Below are 14,738 nucleotides of genomic sequence, written 5' to 3' on the forward strand. Positions count from 1 at the left end.
AGTCAGACGTTTTTGTGCTGGTGGGTGGAGTAGAGTGGGGGAGTGTCAAACTTTTCACATAAAGGGATGGATAGTAATTCTTTTAGGCTTCCTGGACCAGATGGTCTCTGTCACAATAGCAGAACTCTGCAGTCGGAGCAGGAAAGCAACCATAGACCATACGTGAGCCAATGGGCATGGCTGTGTGCCAATAAAACTTTATTTACAAAAACAGACTGTGGGCCGGATTTGGATGATGAGAGACCAAACTACAGAGGCCTATAGTTTGTTGATCTTAGATTTAGACTGTGACTTATATAGTCCTGTGCTGCATAATGATGTTTTGGTCAACAATGGACTGCATATAGGACAGTTGTCTCATAAGATTAAACATTGCACTTTTTTTTTCTTTTTGAGAGGGAGTTTCACTCTTGTTGCCCAGGCTGGAGTGCAATGTATAATCTCAGCTCACTGCAACCTCTGCCTCCTGGGTTCAAGTGATTCTTCTGCCTCAGCCTCCCAAGTAGCTGGGAATACAGGCACGCGCCACCATGCCCAGCCAATTTTGTATTTTTAGTGGAGATGGGGTTTCTCCACGTTGGTCAGGCTGGTCTTGAACTCCTGACCTCAGGTAATCTGCCCCCCCGGCCACCCAAAGTGCTGGGATTATAGGTGTGAGCCACCACACCCGGCCTTAAAACTGCACTTTTATTGTATCTTTTCTTTGTTTGGATACACAAATATTTACCATTGTGTCACAATTGCCTACAGTATTCAGTAGTGACCTGCTGTTCAGGTTTGTATTCTAGGAGCACTAGGTTGTACAATACAGCCTAGGTGTGTAATAGGTTCTACCACCTAGGCGTGAGTAAGTTCACTCTATAATGTTCACACGACAAAATTGCCTCATGACACATGTTTTAGAAGGTGTCCCCTTTGTTAAGTACATGACTGCACTCCTTCAGAAAGTTTTGAGTCTTGATACACAGCACATATTCTTAATAGGTAGTTTGCTCTCTAGGATGAGATACACAGGAATGTCATCAAAACCAAACACCCTCTCAGAAGGGCTGCAGCTCCATGGAGCTTGGATCATCGTCTTCCACTGAGCGGGGGTTATTCCAGCATTCATCATTTCCCGTGCACAACAGGCTCCCAGGTTCCTCTTCTGTTTGCCTCTGCTAGGAAATAATTCAAAGATGCTTTTCTCAGCTGGTAAGCATTCTTATTTTTCTAAATGTTATCATTTATCTTGGTGCAAGACTGCCTGAGTTCAAATTCTGGCTCTGCCATTTATTAGCGGTGTAGCCTTCCTTTGGAATTTTGCATAACCTCTCCCTTTTTCCATTTCCTCCTCTGTAAAAAGGAAAAAAATTAACAACACTTCCCCTGCGGGGGTGTAATGAGAATGAGTGAGTGGATCCAGGTGGCTGGCGCTCGGTGGTGTCTTCTGCTCACTCAATGTACATCCTTAAGGCAGGCTCCGTCTGTCTGGTTTATCACTGTATCCTCAATGCCAGGAACAACATGGTGGGGGCCACAGAGTGACTATTGGTGAACGCAGTGTCTTCTGTTGATGTGGCCACTGTCTCCATCCTCAGCCTCACCACTTTCCCCTCCTCTGCTTCCCTCCAAGTCTCCGCTTGGCCTCTTGGCCTTCTCTGTCCCTCACTGCCTGTACTCCAGGCATCCTCGCTGCCCTAAGACTGTCAATCCTAAAGAAACTTCCGTCTAGCTGAGCTAAGAAGACAAATACACATTATAATAATATACTCATTAACATGTCAAGAGCACTCCACAGTTTGCCAGATCCTTTATTTGATTTAATGTTCACAACATCCAAGTGAAGCAGGGAATTATCCCTACTTTATAGGGCTGAAGCGAAGACAGGAATGAAAATGGAACTGAGCACTCGTGGTGTACTGGACGCTGTGCGTGGCACTTAAATGAGAGTAAGCTCTTTTACACATATCACCTTACTGAATCTTCCCAAGGGTCATTCATTCTTTCAACAGATTTTCGGTGAGCACCTATTATGCTCTGAGCACTGTTATATTAATCAGGATTCTCCAGAACCTGGAGAACCCTGGGTTATCCAGACCAATAGGATAGATAGATAGGAAGAGAGATGAAAGAGGAGACTTATTATGGGAATTGGCTCAGGCAGTTATGGAGGCTGAGAAGTCCCTTGATCTACTGTCTGTAAGCTAGAGAACTGGGGACGTTTGTGGTATAAGTCAGTTAATAATTAGATAATAAATCAGTTAATAATAAGCCCTGGAGTCTGAAGGCCTGAACCAGAAGTACTGATGTCTGAGGACAAGAGAAGATGGATGTCTCAGCTCAAGCAGAGAGAAAGAGAATTAGCTCCTTCTGCCTTTTGGTTCTATCTGGGCATCCACCAGGTAGGGCGTCTATCTATGACACCCACCGATGTTGTTGAGGATGCACCTTCTTTACTCCGTGTATTGATTCAAATGCTGATCTCTTCTGGAATCACCCTCACAGGCACACCCAGAAACAGTGTTTTGCCAGCTATCTGGGCATCTCTTAGCCCAGTCAAGTGGACACTAAGATGAACAATTGTGCTAGGTGTTGGAGGTAAAATGGTGAATAAAACAGGCACGATCCTCCCTTTATGAAGCTTCTAGTCAGGTACAGTGGAGGACACAGATAAATGAAAGGCTGTCACACCACCACCTGAAAAGCCTGGGATGGGGTGGTGCGAGGCCAGACGAGCACAGAGAAGGACTTTTTACACTAGAGTTGAGAGGTCATGGAGGAGGTAGCAACAGAGCTGTGGCTGGAAGGAAGAGGGAGAGTGAGCCACGTTGTCCAGGGAGGACAGCTGGAGAGGAGAAAGGGGACCATCTGAGTGAAGAGGACGAATTTGAGAGACAGAAAAGAAGTGCCGAGGCCTGATCAACACTGATTCGATTGCACCGAATCCTCAGGCAACTGGTGAGGGATGAACTGGGCAGAGAAGAGAGGGCTTGCAGGGCCTGGGAAGCCACTGAACGGGTTTGAATTTCGTCCTAAGGGCGATGGAGAGAAGTGGCATCACTAGCTTTGCATGTGAAGAAAAATCCATCAACTTGTGCTGCAGAGACAGGACTGACAGGGCAGGGGGATGTCATCAGGGTGACTTGTGCGTCAGTTTAAGAGAGAGACGATGGTGGCCTGAGTGAGGCTGGTACCACCAGAGGTGGGGACAGAGACATGCGTTCTAGACTTACTTAGAAGCTAAAATACATGGGCACTAATAAGCCAATGTGAAAATCAGCTCTATTTTTAGATGAAGAATATGTGCATTTGAAATTGGTGAAGAGGCAGGAGTATGGCGGGGGCTAAACCTGGATTTAGGGTCAAATGGGCCCTGGGGAACCCAAGGTGGAGAGAGGGAGTGGTGACTGCAATGGAGAAATGAAGTCAGACCTCTTGGTGAGAGGAGGCAGCCAGCTGGGGATGGGTGGCGCAGAAAAACAGGCAAATGGCCAGTCTCCCCTGTTAGGGAGGGGAAGGGGCCTCTGAGGAAGCCAAGCACATGTCTTGTGGTCAAGTTCTCCTAGAAAGGGTGGTTGCTTGACAAAGATTTTCTCATCAGTGCCTTCATTTAAGTCTATGGGGACAGTTTCTGGCTGTTTGGGGACACATCTTAGATTTTATAAGGGAAGCCAGTGGGAGAATCAGATTCGCGTGATCAAACATTATGCTGCAATCAGTTGGATTGGTGCATCCCTGCAAGGAAAGAATTGTAGAGTCTTAAGAATCCTCAGAGGCCATCTGCCTCCGTTTGCACTCAGGGCATCCTCCTGCACCTCTACTACATGCTCTAAAGCCCAGGGGAAGGAAGGCTAATGATTGTTGTAATGCAAGAGTTTCAATCCTCGAGTTAGGCTCTGGCCTCTTGGGCAAAATAAAGTCAGCTGGGAGCCTGGGGGAGCTGGCCGGCCTGGGGGAGCTCGGTGTGTGTCTTGGTGCTGGTAGAGTGGGCATGTGTCAGCATTGCACCCTTCCTCATCTCCTTTGCAAAGCTAGAAACATTTGCATTTGACAGGTCCTGGGGCACTGGACCCCACTGCACAAAACTCCAAAGGAGGCCGTCGAATGTGCATGCATATAATTCCTTCTGTTCTGTGACCAGAAGCCTCGATGAGGTACCTGTCTCAGGGCACACCTGGCCCCGCTGCAGCCCCTAGGGGTTGCTACCCACTGCTTGACAACACCTTCCTTTTTAAAAAAAATTAATTGACAAATAAAGCTTGTATATATTTACGGTGTACAATGTGATGTTTTGACATATGGTATACATTGTGCACTGGCTAAATCAATCAAACTGATTAACATATGCATTACCTTATGTATTTACCATTTTTTGGTGATAAGAACACTTAAAATCTACTCTCTTGGCAGTTTTCAAGTGCACAATGTATTGTTATTCACTATAGATCAGTTGTATGTAGGTCTCCTGAACTTATGCCTCCTGTCTAACTGAAACTTCACATGCTTTGAGCAACATCTCTTCACTCCCTCCTTCCCCCAGGCCCTGGTGACTGCCCTTCTTCGATTCTCTGCCTCTATGAGTTTGACTTTTTTAGATTCCACATGTAAGTTAAATCGTGCAGTATTTGGCTTTTTAAAAATGTGGCTGTCACATTGCTTTTCTACAGGAACTGTTTGTTTACTCTTCAAGGAAAACATCAAGCAGAGTGGAAGGCAGTTTTGTTTTGCCACATCCATTCTCTTTTCTCCACGAAGTTCTCCTGCACAGGGGTTAGGTTCCAGGGAAGAAGCTCTGCCCTGGGAGCCAGGTAGGCTTCACCGTGGCCAGGAGCCATGGGATCCCTTCAGCGAGGGGCCGTTGAGAGCAGAACGGGAGCCATCACTGCTCCTCCTGGTTCTCAGGGAGAGACAGAGAAAGCCCAGGTGTGCTGTGGTGTCTGACCTTCCACTGCTCTGCCTCCTGTCCCTCAGCCCTCTTGTCACCACTGACAGACAAACAACAGAGCTTCCAGAGCCAGCCAGGGACTTTCCTATTGTACTAGCTTTCTAGGGCTGCCCTAAAAAGCACCATGGACTGGAGGCTTAGACACAGAAACCAGGATGCACCTTCAACACCTGGCTTAGAAATCTCCTCAGTTAAACATCCAAGTTCATCACATACAATGTCTGCTTTCCACAGGACAGAACATAGTTCAGCCAAGTCCTCTGTCACTTCATAACCAGGATCACCTTTCCTTCAATTTCTAGTAGCATGTTTCTCATTTCCGAAGGAGACCTCACCAGAAGAACTGTACATCCATATTTCTAGCATCATTCTCTTCATGGTATTTAGATGTTCTCTAAGAGGAGGGAAACTTTCTCTGCAGCTCTCCTCTTTTCTGTCCGAGCCCTCACCAGAACTGCCTATAATGTCCATATTTCTACCAACAATTTCTTCAAGGCAATCTGGGCTTTTCTAATTTGCACACCAAAACTCTTCCAGCTTTCACTCATTACCCACTTCCAAAGCCACTTCCACACTTTTAGGTATTTTTTATAGCAGCACTCCACAGCATGGTAGCAAAATATGTGTTAGTCTGCTAGGGATGCCATAACAAATACCACAGAATAGGTGGCTTATGCAATAGAATTGTATTTTCTTACAGTGCTGGAAGCTGAAAGTCCGAGATCAGGGCATCAGCAGGGTTGGCTCCCTTCAAGGCCGCTCTCCTCGGCTTGCAAATGCTGTCTTCTCCCTGTCTTCATGTGGTCATCTGTCTGTGTGCATTTTTGCCCCAATCTCCTCTTCTTAGGAGGACACCAGTCATATTGGATTAAGCCCCATCCTAATGACCTCATTTTACCCCTAAAGGACCTATCCCCCAATACAGTCTCATTCTGAGGTACTAAGGATGAGGGCTTCAACATATGAATTTTGGGGACACAATTCAACCTGTGATATCCACTGTGCATTGTCTCTTTTGCACAGTGTGCCTGGATGCCTCTCTGACTTACGTGTCTCATACAGTTGCCTGTGCCACAGCTGGCTGTTCCCAGAACAAACAGATGGAGACAGGCTACACAGGAATTGGGACTGCCTTTCCAAATGCATGATGCCTTACAGGTGGGTGGGCCTATAGTCATGACTGCCCCCAGGAAGAGCCACACCTGAGCTATTACAGACTCATGTTTATTGAACCTTTCAACAAAAAACTGTCTCCAGGAATCCAGGAACACAGCCCATGTTGACCATGGTGTGATGGAGTGGAAGAGATGGGGTTTTAAATCAACTGGATTTGGTTCTCAGTTCTGCCTCTTATGGGGCCTGCAATGCTGGCCAAACCATGTTGCATCTCTGCAGTGCAATTTTTCCATCTCTAATGGTTTATTTCATGTGTCACCTTGACTCAGCCATAAGGTGCTCAGATAATTGGTCAAACATTATTCCGGGTGTGTCTGTGAAGGTGTTTCTGGATAAGGTTACATTTGAACTGGTGGACTGAGTAAAGCAGGTGACCCTCTGCAACGTGAGTGAGTCTCATCCAATCCATTCACGGCCTAATAGAATGAAGACCTGACTCTTTCACGAGTAAGAGAGAATTCTTCCTGACTGGCAACCTTCGAACTGAGACATCATCTTTTTCCTGCCTGCAGACTTGGAGTGAAACATTCACTCTTCCCGGGTCTGGAGCCTGCTAGTCTTTGGACTGGAAATACCCCATCATTTCTCCTGGGTCTCAGGCCATCAGACTTGGACTGGAACTGACACCATCAGCTCTCCTGGGTCTTTAGGATCCAACTCATCCCACAGATCTTGGGAATTGTCAGCTTCCATAACCATATGAGCCAATTCCTTATATGTATTGTATAAATCATATATCTACATATTCATATACACACATTATATGCATACACACACACACACCTTATTAGTTCTGTTTCTCTGGAGAACCATGACAAATATATCATCTTCATAAGTATAATAAAATACCTCTCCTATCCATTCCCTGTGGCTATTTTTGCAGTCAAATGAGGTGCTCTGAAAACTGTGACGTGCTATTCCAATGACGGTTATCACCACTGTTGTTCATGTCAACAGTGACCTCTGAATTGCTCATACCAAGGTCAATTTCCAATACTCATCTTCCTGAGCAGTAGCATCTGACACAATGAATCATCCTCCTCCGTAAACCCTCCCCTGCCTCCCCGGACACCCCACCCTCCTGGCTGTCCCCCTTGCCCTCTGCTTGTGCCTTCTCTGGTCCCTTGCCTACTTTCTCCTCATTTCCTGGTCTTCTAAATATTGGAGCACCCCATGTTCTGTCCTTGGATCCTTTGTTTCTCCATCTATACTTACTCACTTGGTGGTGTCAGTGAGTCTCTTAGATTTGATCATTGTGGCTCCCCAAGGAACAGACTCTGAAAAGGACATTTGCATGTAGGAGGCTTACTGGGGACAGCTGTCAGGATCCAAGCCTGCTACACAGGTAGGATGAGGGCTAGACACTGACTAGGCAAAAGCTGAGCTGTGTTATCCTTGCAACAAAATGATTAGTTTTCACTGGGAACTCTACAGCTGGGATGGTCCTTGTCATACTTGGAGGAAAGGCCCTGGGCTCTTCTGTGTCCAGTCATTGGGTGTGGCCATCTGGGAAGGGTCATGGTCTCAGGCCATTGTCTTCACCTGAGGGCACATCTAGGAGAGGGTTCAGCTGAGAGCCATCAGCCCTGACACTCCTGCAGCCGGGAAAGTGAGCACTTCTGCTCTCAAGGGGAATTTGGTTAAGAAAGATTATGAATCTGAAGCATGGGAAATCAATTCTTGCTGTCAGATGACAAGATTTGAACATAACCCTGGCTTCAAAGCAGGCAAAGCTTTAGAGGTTTCATAAGTTAATTTATTTTATTTTAAGTATTCTGAGGGATGAAGTTTGGCAAAGTCACAGAAGATAAATCTAGTAGCACCGCGTTTTTCCCGGCTTCCATAATCATTATGGGCTTACTCCCTTTGGTCATGTCAGATCCCAGTTTTATCAGCAGACAGCACATATTTACCCAAACTGTATAGTCTTCATTTTGTTTTACTTAAAAATAATTAGGGCTTCATAGAACCAGCTCTAACTCTTTCCCTTTGCAGCAAGGACTTGCAGAGGCAATTGGATTTTGGAGGTGTGTTAGTGTCGTGCCGTAAGCTTCTTGCTAAAGTGCAGATCTTAGTAAAGGACGCTGGCGTTTCTATTGCAGCGCTATGATTCAGTCCCTCTGGGCAGAGCTGGGAGAGGTAAGCTCCCCTCGCTAATCGTTAATCATCTTATCGAATCTTAGCAGTCATTCAGAAATTATGACAGCTACGTTCATTCTGACAAAGTCCTAAGGGCAGAGAAGGGATTTTTTTCAGCTTTGATTTCATAGGAGTGAATGAGGCTCTCAGGGCGAACAATTTCTTTTATGATGATTCTAATCCTGGAAGAAAAACCAAGCTGCTGTTTCTAGTGTAGAGACTCAAGCTTTGAAGCTCAGTTCTCCCACTTTGTTGGCTCTTCCCCCATGCACGGGGAAGATGCATCTGCCGGATCTGGGGGAGCCGGCTGCGACACGGGGCCGTTCTGCTTTTGCAGTACCCTGAGAGGACATGCTCAGCAGCTCTGTGGGAGCCCCCTTGGAATGAGGCACCGGTGGAAAGTGTGCGGCCTCGCTCTGTCACCAGACAGTTTCTGATCTGGGAGAATCATGCTATATGCTTACCACCTCCATCACCATTTCTCTCAGATAAAACTGATTGAAAAATAGACAATAAGAAAAGACTTGGAGGGGTAATTGAAGTATTACAAACTTTCTCCTCTTTAGTCTGGAATGTCCACAAACGTATATGCCCACCATCACAGTCCCCAGAAACTGTCCAGCCTTCCAAAGAGCCACAAAAGACCCAGCAAAGTCTACATAACCAGCGGCCATGTTGTACTTCTCAGGGTGGGAAGAAGAAACCATATTTCAAGTGGCATGATACTAAGAGATTGCAATTTATTCATCAGAATAAAAGGCCCATGTTGTCATGTCAAGAGAAAGTTGGCCCCATTTAAGTTTGGAAGTGACGTTAGGGAAAAGAGATTCTAGTTTGGATTCTTGGGTTAGAACAAGTGAAAATTGCCCTCATATCCTCTCACTCTACTGTTAATCTAATCTCACTGGTTCATTGAGGCATAACTGAGGATCTTACTAGGGACCCAAAGCTGGAAATTAAATATTTATTTTCCATGGAGGCACATACATTCCGGTGCTCGACCATCTGGGTCGAGCTCTGCCACCTGCTAGCTGAGGGACCTTAAGGCAAGTTAATAAACCTCTCGGTGCCTCAGGCTCCCCCTCTCTAATATGGGAATAGTGGTGGTTTCCAGCTTGGAAAGTTGTCTGAGTATTTAATGAGCTGGTGGATGCTGAGTCCTGAGGGCCTGGCACGTGGCAGAGTCCACAAGGTTAGCTATTATTATGATTTCCTGCTTATCTGAATGAGGAGTTATCCCAGGATCAGGGAGTTTGTTAAGACATAAGGAGGGGAACATCACACACGGGGGCCTGTCGGGGGGTGGGGGACAAGGAGAGGGAGAGCATTAGGACAAACACCTAATGCATGCGGGGCTTAAAACCCAAATGATGGGTTGATAGGTGCAGGAAACCACCATGGCCCGTGTATACCTATGTAACAAACCTGCACGTTCTACAGATGTATCCCAGAACTTAAAGTAAAATTAAAAAAAAAAGATATCACACCCAATGCAGACAATAGTTCTAAAATAAGACCATGCCTTTCAGCTGATAGGTTACCTTAATGACATTTTCATATTTTCAATGTAGGACTTTTACAACTGTTATCAAAAAAAGGGGCTCCTGAGCTCTGGCTGTCACCATGGACGGGGGTGATGCATAATGTCCAGCAGGTGCTTCAGAAGGGGGGCTGTGCTGTGGAACCCAGGGCCCCGTGCCAGCTCCCCCACAGTGCTTTCTGTGTCAGGAGAACTTGGCTCTGCATGGACTGGACAAGCACAGGTGGCCTGGATGGACCCTTTCTTATCTCAGGCCTTGGTCTTCGCTCCTCTTCAGGCCTTATCACAAAGGCAGGAGCGGGACATGTGTTCCTCATTCTTACTACAGGCTTGTGTACAAGCTATTGGTGCACAAGTCTTCTCTGGCTTCTCGGAGGACATAGATGGATTTCCCATCTCCCCAGTGGCTAACCCTTGGCTTTGGGACGATATCTAGAGGAGTGCAGAGGAGGATACATTAAAGAGCGCTCTGGCATACAACAGGAGATCAATAAATTGACATCACATAAAGAAAGCATTCAAAGTGGATGAAAAAGTCAGTGAGACACTCAGAGGTGGAGCTGTCCCCAGACCCCGTCTGAAATGGCTACCTGGTGACATGGTCCTAGAGAGGTGTCTGTGGGCTTTTGAACAAGCATTAAAAATCCCACGTTTCGGATGACCTCCAGGATCCTACCTGAGAGTGTGTTAAGGGCCCCCAGCCCCAGGGGCAGCTCTGAGGGTGCAGCATGGCTGGGATGAGAAGACTGGGGTTCAGGGAGGCATGCTCGTGTGCTTATGACCCACATTCACATGGAAGAAGAAGGTGAAGTCCTAGCAGGGCATTTGTTTCCCTTTCTCCTGGAGTGACGTATTCACAAAGGGTCTGCGATGAGCAGGGAGGGTGCGTGGGGGTGTGCCAGCCTTGTCACTGTGCTCTAGTGGTTGTGGCTGGCCACTCCACCTGCACTCGCCCTCTGTGCATACATTTGCTTGTGGTATAACCTGAAGGAATATCAGACCCTCTGCTCTTAGGAGCAGATGCTTTCCCTTTGGGTTTACTTCTGATTCCCAGGTTCAGTGACAGCTCTCAGGAAGCCATGCCAACAGGGACACACACCACTCCAAAGCAGGGCATGGCCCCCAACAGGAATGACAGACAAGGGCTACAGGGACAGGGTGAAGTCAGCCAGGAAACCGACATTTCCATGGACACAGAGCCCAGATGGAGCACCATCTTATCTTTGCTATTTCAGGCCGGTATTTTCAGGAAGTAAAGTGTACAAATTATGGACAAAGGCTGCAGGTGTGCAGCCATAGGGCAGAGAAAGGATCTCCACTCTGGTGTGGAAAGGAAATCACATTGTTTGACAAGGGTTAGATCAGAGAGAGGCAGATATGTGCCTCAGCCCCGCTTGCATTCCTAGTCATGGTTTACTCCACAGGAGCAATATGGATTCATCCCAGGAACGCTCGTTTTCTTCGTTCTTTGTTGTAACAGGAGCATTATTGTGAGTGGGGTGAGGGGAGTTCAGAGACTTCACAGTTCTGCACCAAATCTCTGCCCCGTTATCTAAAACCTTTGCAATGGTGGGGAAGTTGCTCAACTTCTCTGTTCCTCATGGTTTTATTTGAAAAGCGAGGATAGAAATATTCTCTCTGTGGGTGGGGTTTATACCTCAATAAAGCTGTTTAAATGAGTAAAATAAAATCCACCTTAAAAAAAATGAGCCGTGTTTTGTGAGAGTACCTACCTAGCGTGATGCTTGGGATGCAGAAGGAACTAGATCTACTTTGGCTCAGCTATTGATGGTAATTTTTTGTTGCCTCTTTTGCCGTTGGATGCAAACTTCTTCTGGGAGTTTGCTTCCTTCTCTTCCTTCCCATTTCCCTCTTATTCATTTTTCTCCTACCTCCTCCCCTGGAGGAAGCCAGAATATCTTAGTCCTGAGGAGCTCTAGTCCACTGGAGAGGTGGGTGACGCAAGCTCACTTTCACTCTGCATGATCCCTGGGGATCTCAAGGTCTGGAGTGGGTCCGAGTTGAAAGGAAGATCTGCAGATGTCAAGCCCAACAACAAGGCCTGCTGACAGGAAGGGCGAGGGGAGACAGTCAGGAAGCCTGGAGTGGCCTGTTCATTTATTTCTATCCCCTACCCAAATATCTTTTAAATAATGCTTCTCCCCGAGTGAATTTGCCAGGAGTGAACTATTGGGGGGATGAAATGTGCAGTAATACTGTCTCATTGCTTTCCATAGCCATTACCTGCCAATTCAGGATGTTTGATAGGTCTTAGGCAAAGAAAGAAAAACAAAAGTCTCTTGCGACCATTGGACAGCCACTGACAGAAGAACTAGGAACTGAATGTGAGTTGGTAATTAAAGGGCCCAGAAAGAGGGAAAACTCAAAGGACTCCAGGGAGTATGGAGTTGGGATTTCATGAAAGAGAGAAACTGTCTTTCCAAATGTTTGCCAGGGGCTGCTTTTTATACCTCTCCATTCCCTGATTTGAAAAAGCATAAGGTGTACAAAAGAGAAGGGAAAATATCCCTGCCCAGTGTGCCTTGGGCCTCACTCCCCTGTGTCCAGTCCCTCTTCCCAGGAGTAAAGCTTTGGGAATCTTATTAGACTTTTTACTCAGACTACAACTCAGAAGCGCAGAGAAACATGTAGATTCTTTGCTCTATCGACATCTAATTTTGTCGTCCTACTGAGCCCTACCCACTGCTTAGCAGGGGAAACATTTCTAATGATGCTATATTTTTAATTAAAAAATTATTTAAGTTAATGTCTAATGTGGCCCAAATTTTGATCTGAAAATGTAAACAATTTCTTCAGGTAATTTTCACTTTCTTAAGGCAAAACATGCCCAGACTTATGAATTGCCTTCCCCTCCCCATTTCTGCTGGCTGGGTGGAAAAGCAGGGGCAGTTAATGACCTCTTGCAAGACAGAAGGCCTGGCACTCTTGGGCTGTGTCCCCATGTGCCTGCTGGCCACTTCCCCCTGGCATCTGCAGCAGGCACCTGGAGTGTCACTCACAGCTTGGTCCTCCCCTGGCTTGTGCAGAGCCTAGGAGAGGCTTCCCCTGGCAGAGGAGAGCTCATCTCAGCACCACCGTCTGCAGACCCCCAAACCTCTCTCTATCTTGTCCACCATCCATGCCCCTCACCTGGAATCCCCACATCCCGCCATAGTAGGCCTGTGGCCGGCCAGTGCATGTCCACCCAGTGTCAATGCCGCATGACGCTGAGGCCAACCCAGGGCTGCCCTTGCCTGTGTGGCTGTGCCCCCCGGGTTGACATGGCCACTCCTGAGGCTGGGGAGTGAGCACTTCTTTTTTCTTTTTTGAGACAGAGTCCCGCTCTGTCGCCCAGGCTGGAGTGCAATGGCACGATCTCGGCTCACTGCAACCTCCGCTTCCCTGGTTCAAGCGATTCTCTTGCCTCAGCCTCGTGAGTAGCTGGGATTACAGGCGCCTGCCACCACGCCTGGCTAATTTTTGTATTTTTTTTTAATAGAGACGGGGTTTCATCATGTTGACCAGGCTGGTCCTGAACTCCTGACCTCAGGTTATCCACCCACCTTGGCCTCCCAAACTGCTAGGATTACAGGCATGAGCCACTGCGCCCAGCCGGGAGGGAGCACTTTGCAAAGTCCTGGAGAGGCAGCAGAGGAAGAAGCCTGCTGTAAAAGTGTCACTTTCATTTAGTGAATGTGCTTCTACCGCTCTGGGCTCAAGCCAAGAAAGGAGAAAAATAAGACCTGGACTTCTGACCCAGAGGCCCTTCTCTCTTCCTTTCCTGTCCTCCGCTCCTCTCTCCTACCTCAAACCACCGTTTGCTGAATTGCAAGTCTCCTGGTTTAGCTGACAGAGGGACTAAAGGAAAGACGCCTCTTCTCTCCAACACAAGAGAGCCCTCAGGGGGATAAAAACCTCTGGAGCATTCTCTTTCAAGACAATAACCCAGCTTACAAATTATCTTACTGATTAGGCTTATTCTGCGTGACTATTTGTTTGACGAGAGTTAGATCAGAGAGAGGCAGATACGTGCCTAGGCCCTGCTTGCATTCCTAGCCATTCCTATCTTTTCTCTTTGTATTCTTCCTGCAGCAAACCCAGATCTTGTCTAGGGATGGGATGCTAATGGTTTATGTACTTAGGCAAAAGTGAAAAATTCATCAAGAATATTTCAGATATAATCCTGGTAGCTGTGTGTGTGAATGTATGAGTGTAAATACGTAACACTTTAAAACAACAGACTTACTCTAGACGTAAGTTCTGCAACTTGCTTTCTTCACTGAATAAGTCTTTCCCATCTTTCCATATAGGTACTTGTAGACCGGCTTCTTTTTAATGGCTTCATGCTAATCCTTCGTAAGGACACAATATACTTTATTTAACCCCTTTCCTTTAATTTTGGATGTTTCTAGTTTTTCTTTTTTTTCTTTTTTCCTACCAAGAACAATGATGGTGAGGCTATGCTGGTGCATTCATGTGTTGCTTCCTGCCTAACTCCCCAAATGCAAAGAGAGTAGGCGCCTTATCTGCCTTTGTCACCACCTGCCTGGAACAGAACATACAAACAGATGAACAGAAGTGGATGAACAAACACAGTAAATGGATTCATCCTAATGGATGGAAGGGTTTATCTTTTTGTTCTCATGCACATTTCTGCAGAATACATTTCTAGAGGAGGAGCCATAGAGTCAAGGGCTCTGGATCCTTACATTTTACCGTGTGTCACCACACTGGGCTCCAAGCCTGTGGTACTGATTCACCTGTCCTCCAGTGGGTGGAGTACCTAGAGAGCCTGCAGCAGGGCTGTGTGCAGGTGGCTTTGGGAAACAATTCCAGGGAACGGGAGTGTGAGAGAAGGAAGGTAGTCAGAGGCAGAGGGGAAGCCAGTTCAGGGGAGAGTTACCAAGCTGATCCCCACTGAGGGCATGGAGAGCTCCTTCCCCCAGAGACCTTCTG

General features: G+C 46.8%; 1 annotated feature.

Annotated features, from left to right (window-relative positions):
* Positions 12,452 to 12,952: an enhancer, noted in NCBI's record as "H3K4me1 hESC enhancer chr6:3540364-3540864 (GRCh37/hg19 assembly coordinates)". NCBI's record gives its function as "activates a minimal SCP1, AML or CMV promoter by ChIP-STARR-seq in primed H9 embryonic stem cells {active_cell/tissue: H9 hESC(primed)}" and the evidence as "EXISTENCE:reporter gene assay evidence [ECO:0000049][PMID:30033119]".

The sequence above is a fragment of the Homo sapiens genome, chromosome 6 (assembly GCF_000001405.40).
Source record: "Homo sapiens chromosome 6, GRCh38.p14 Primary Assembly".
Classification (NCBI taxonomy): domain Eukaryota; kingdom Metazoa; phylum Chordata; class Mammalia; order Primates; family Hominidae; genus Homo; species Homo sapiens.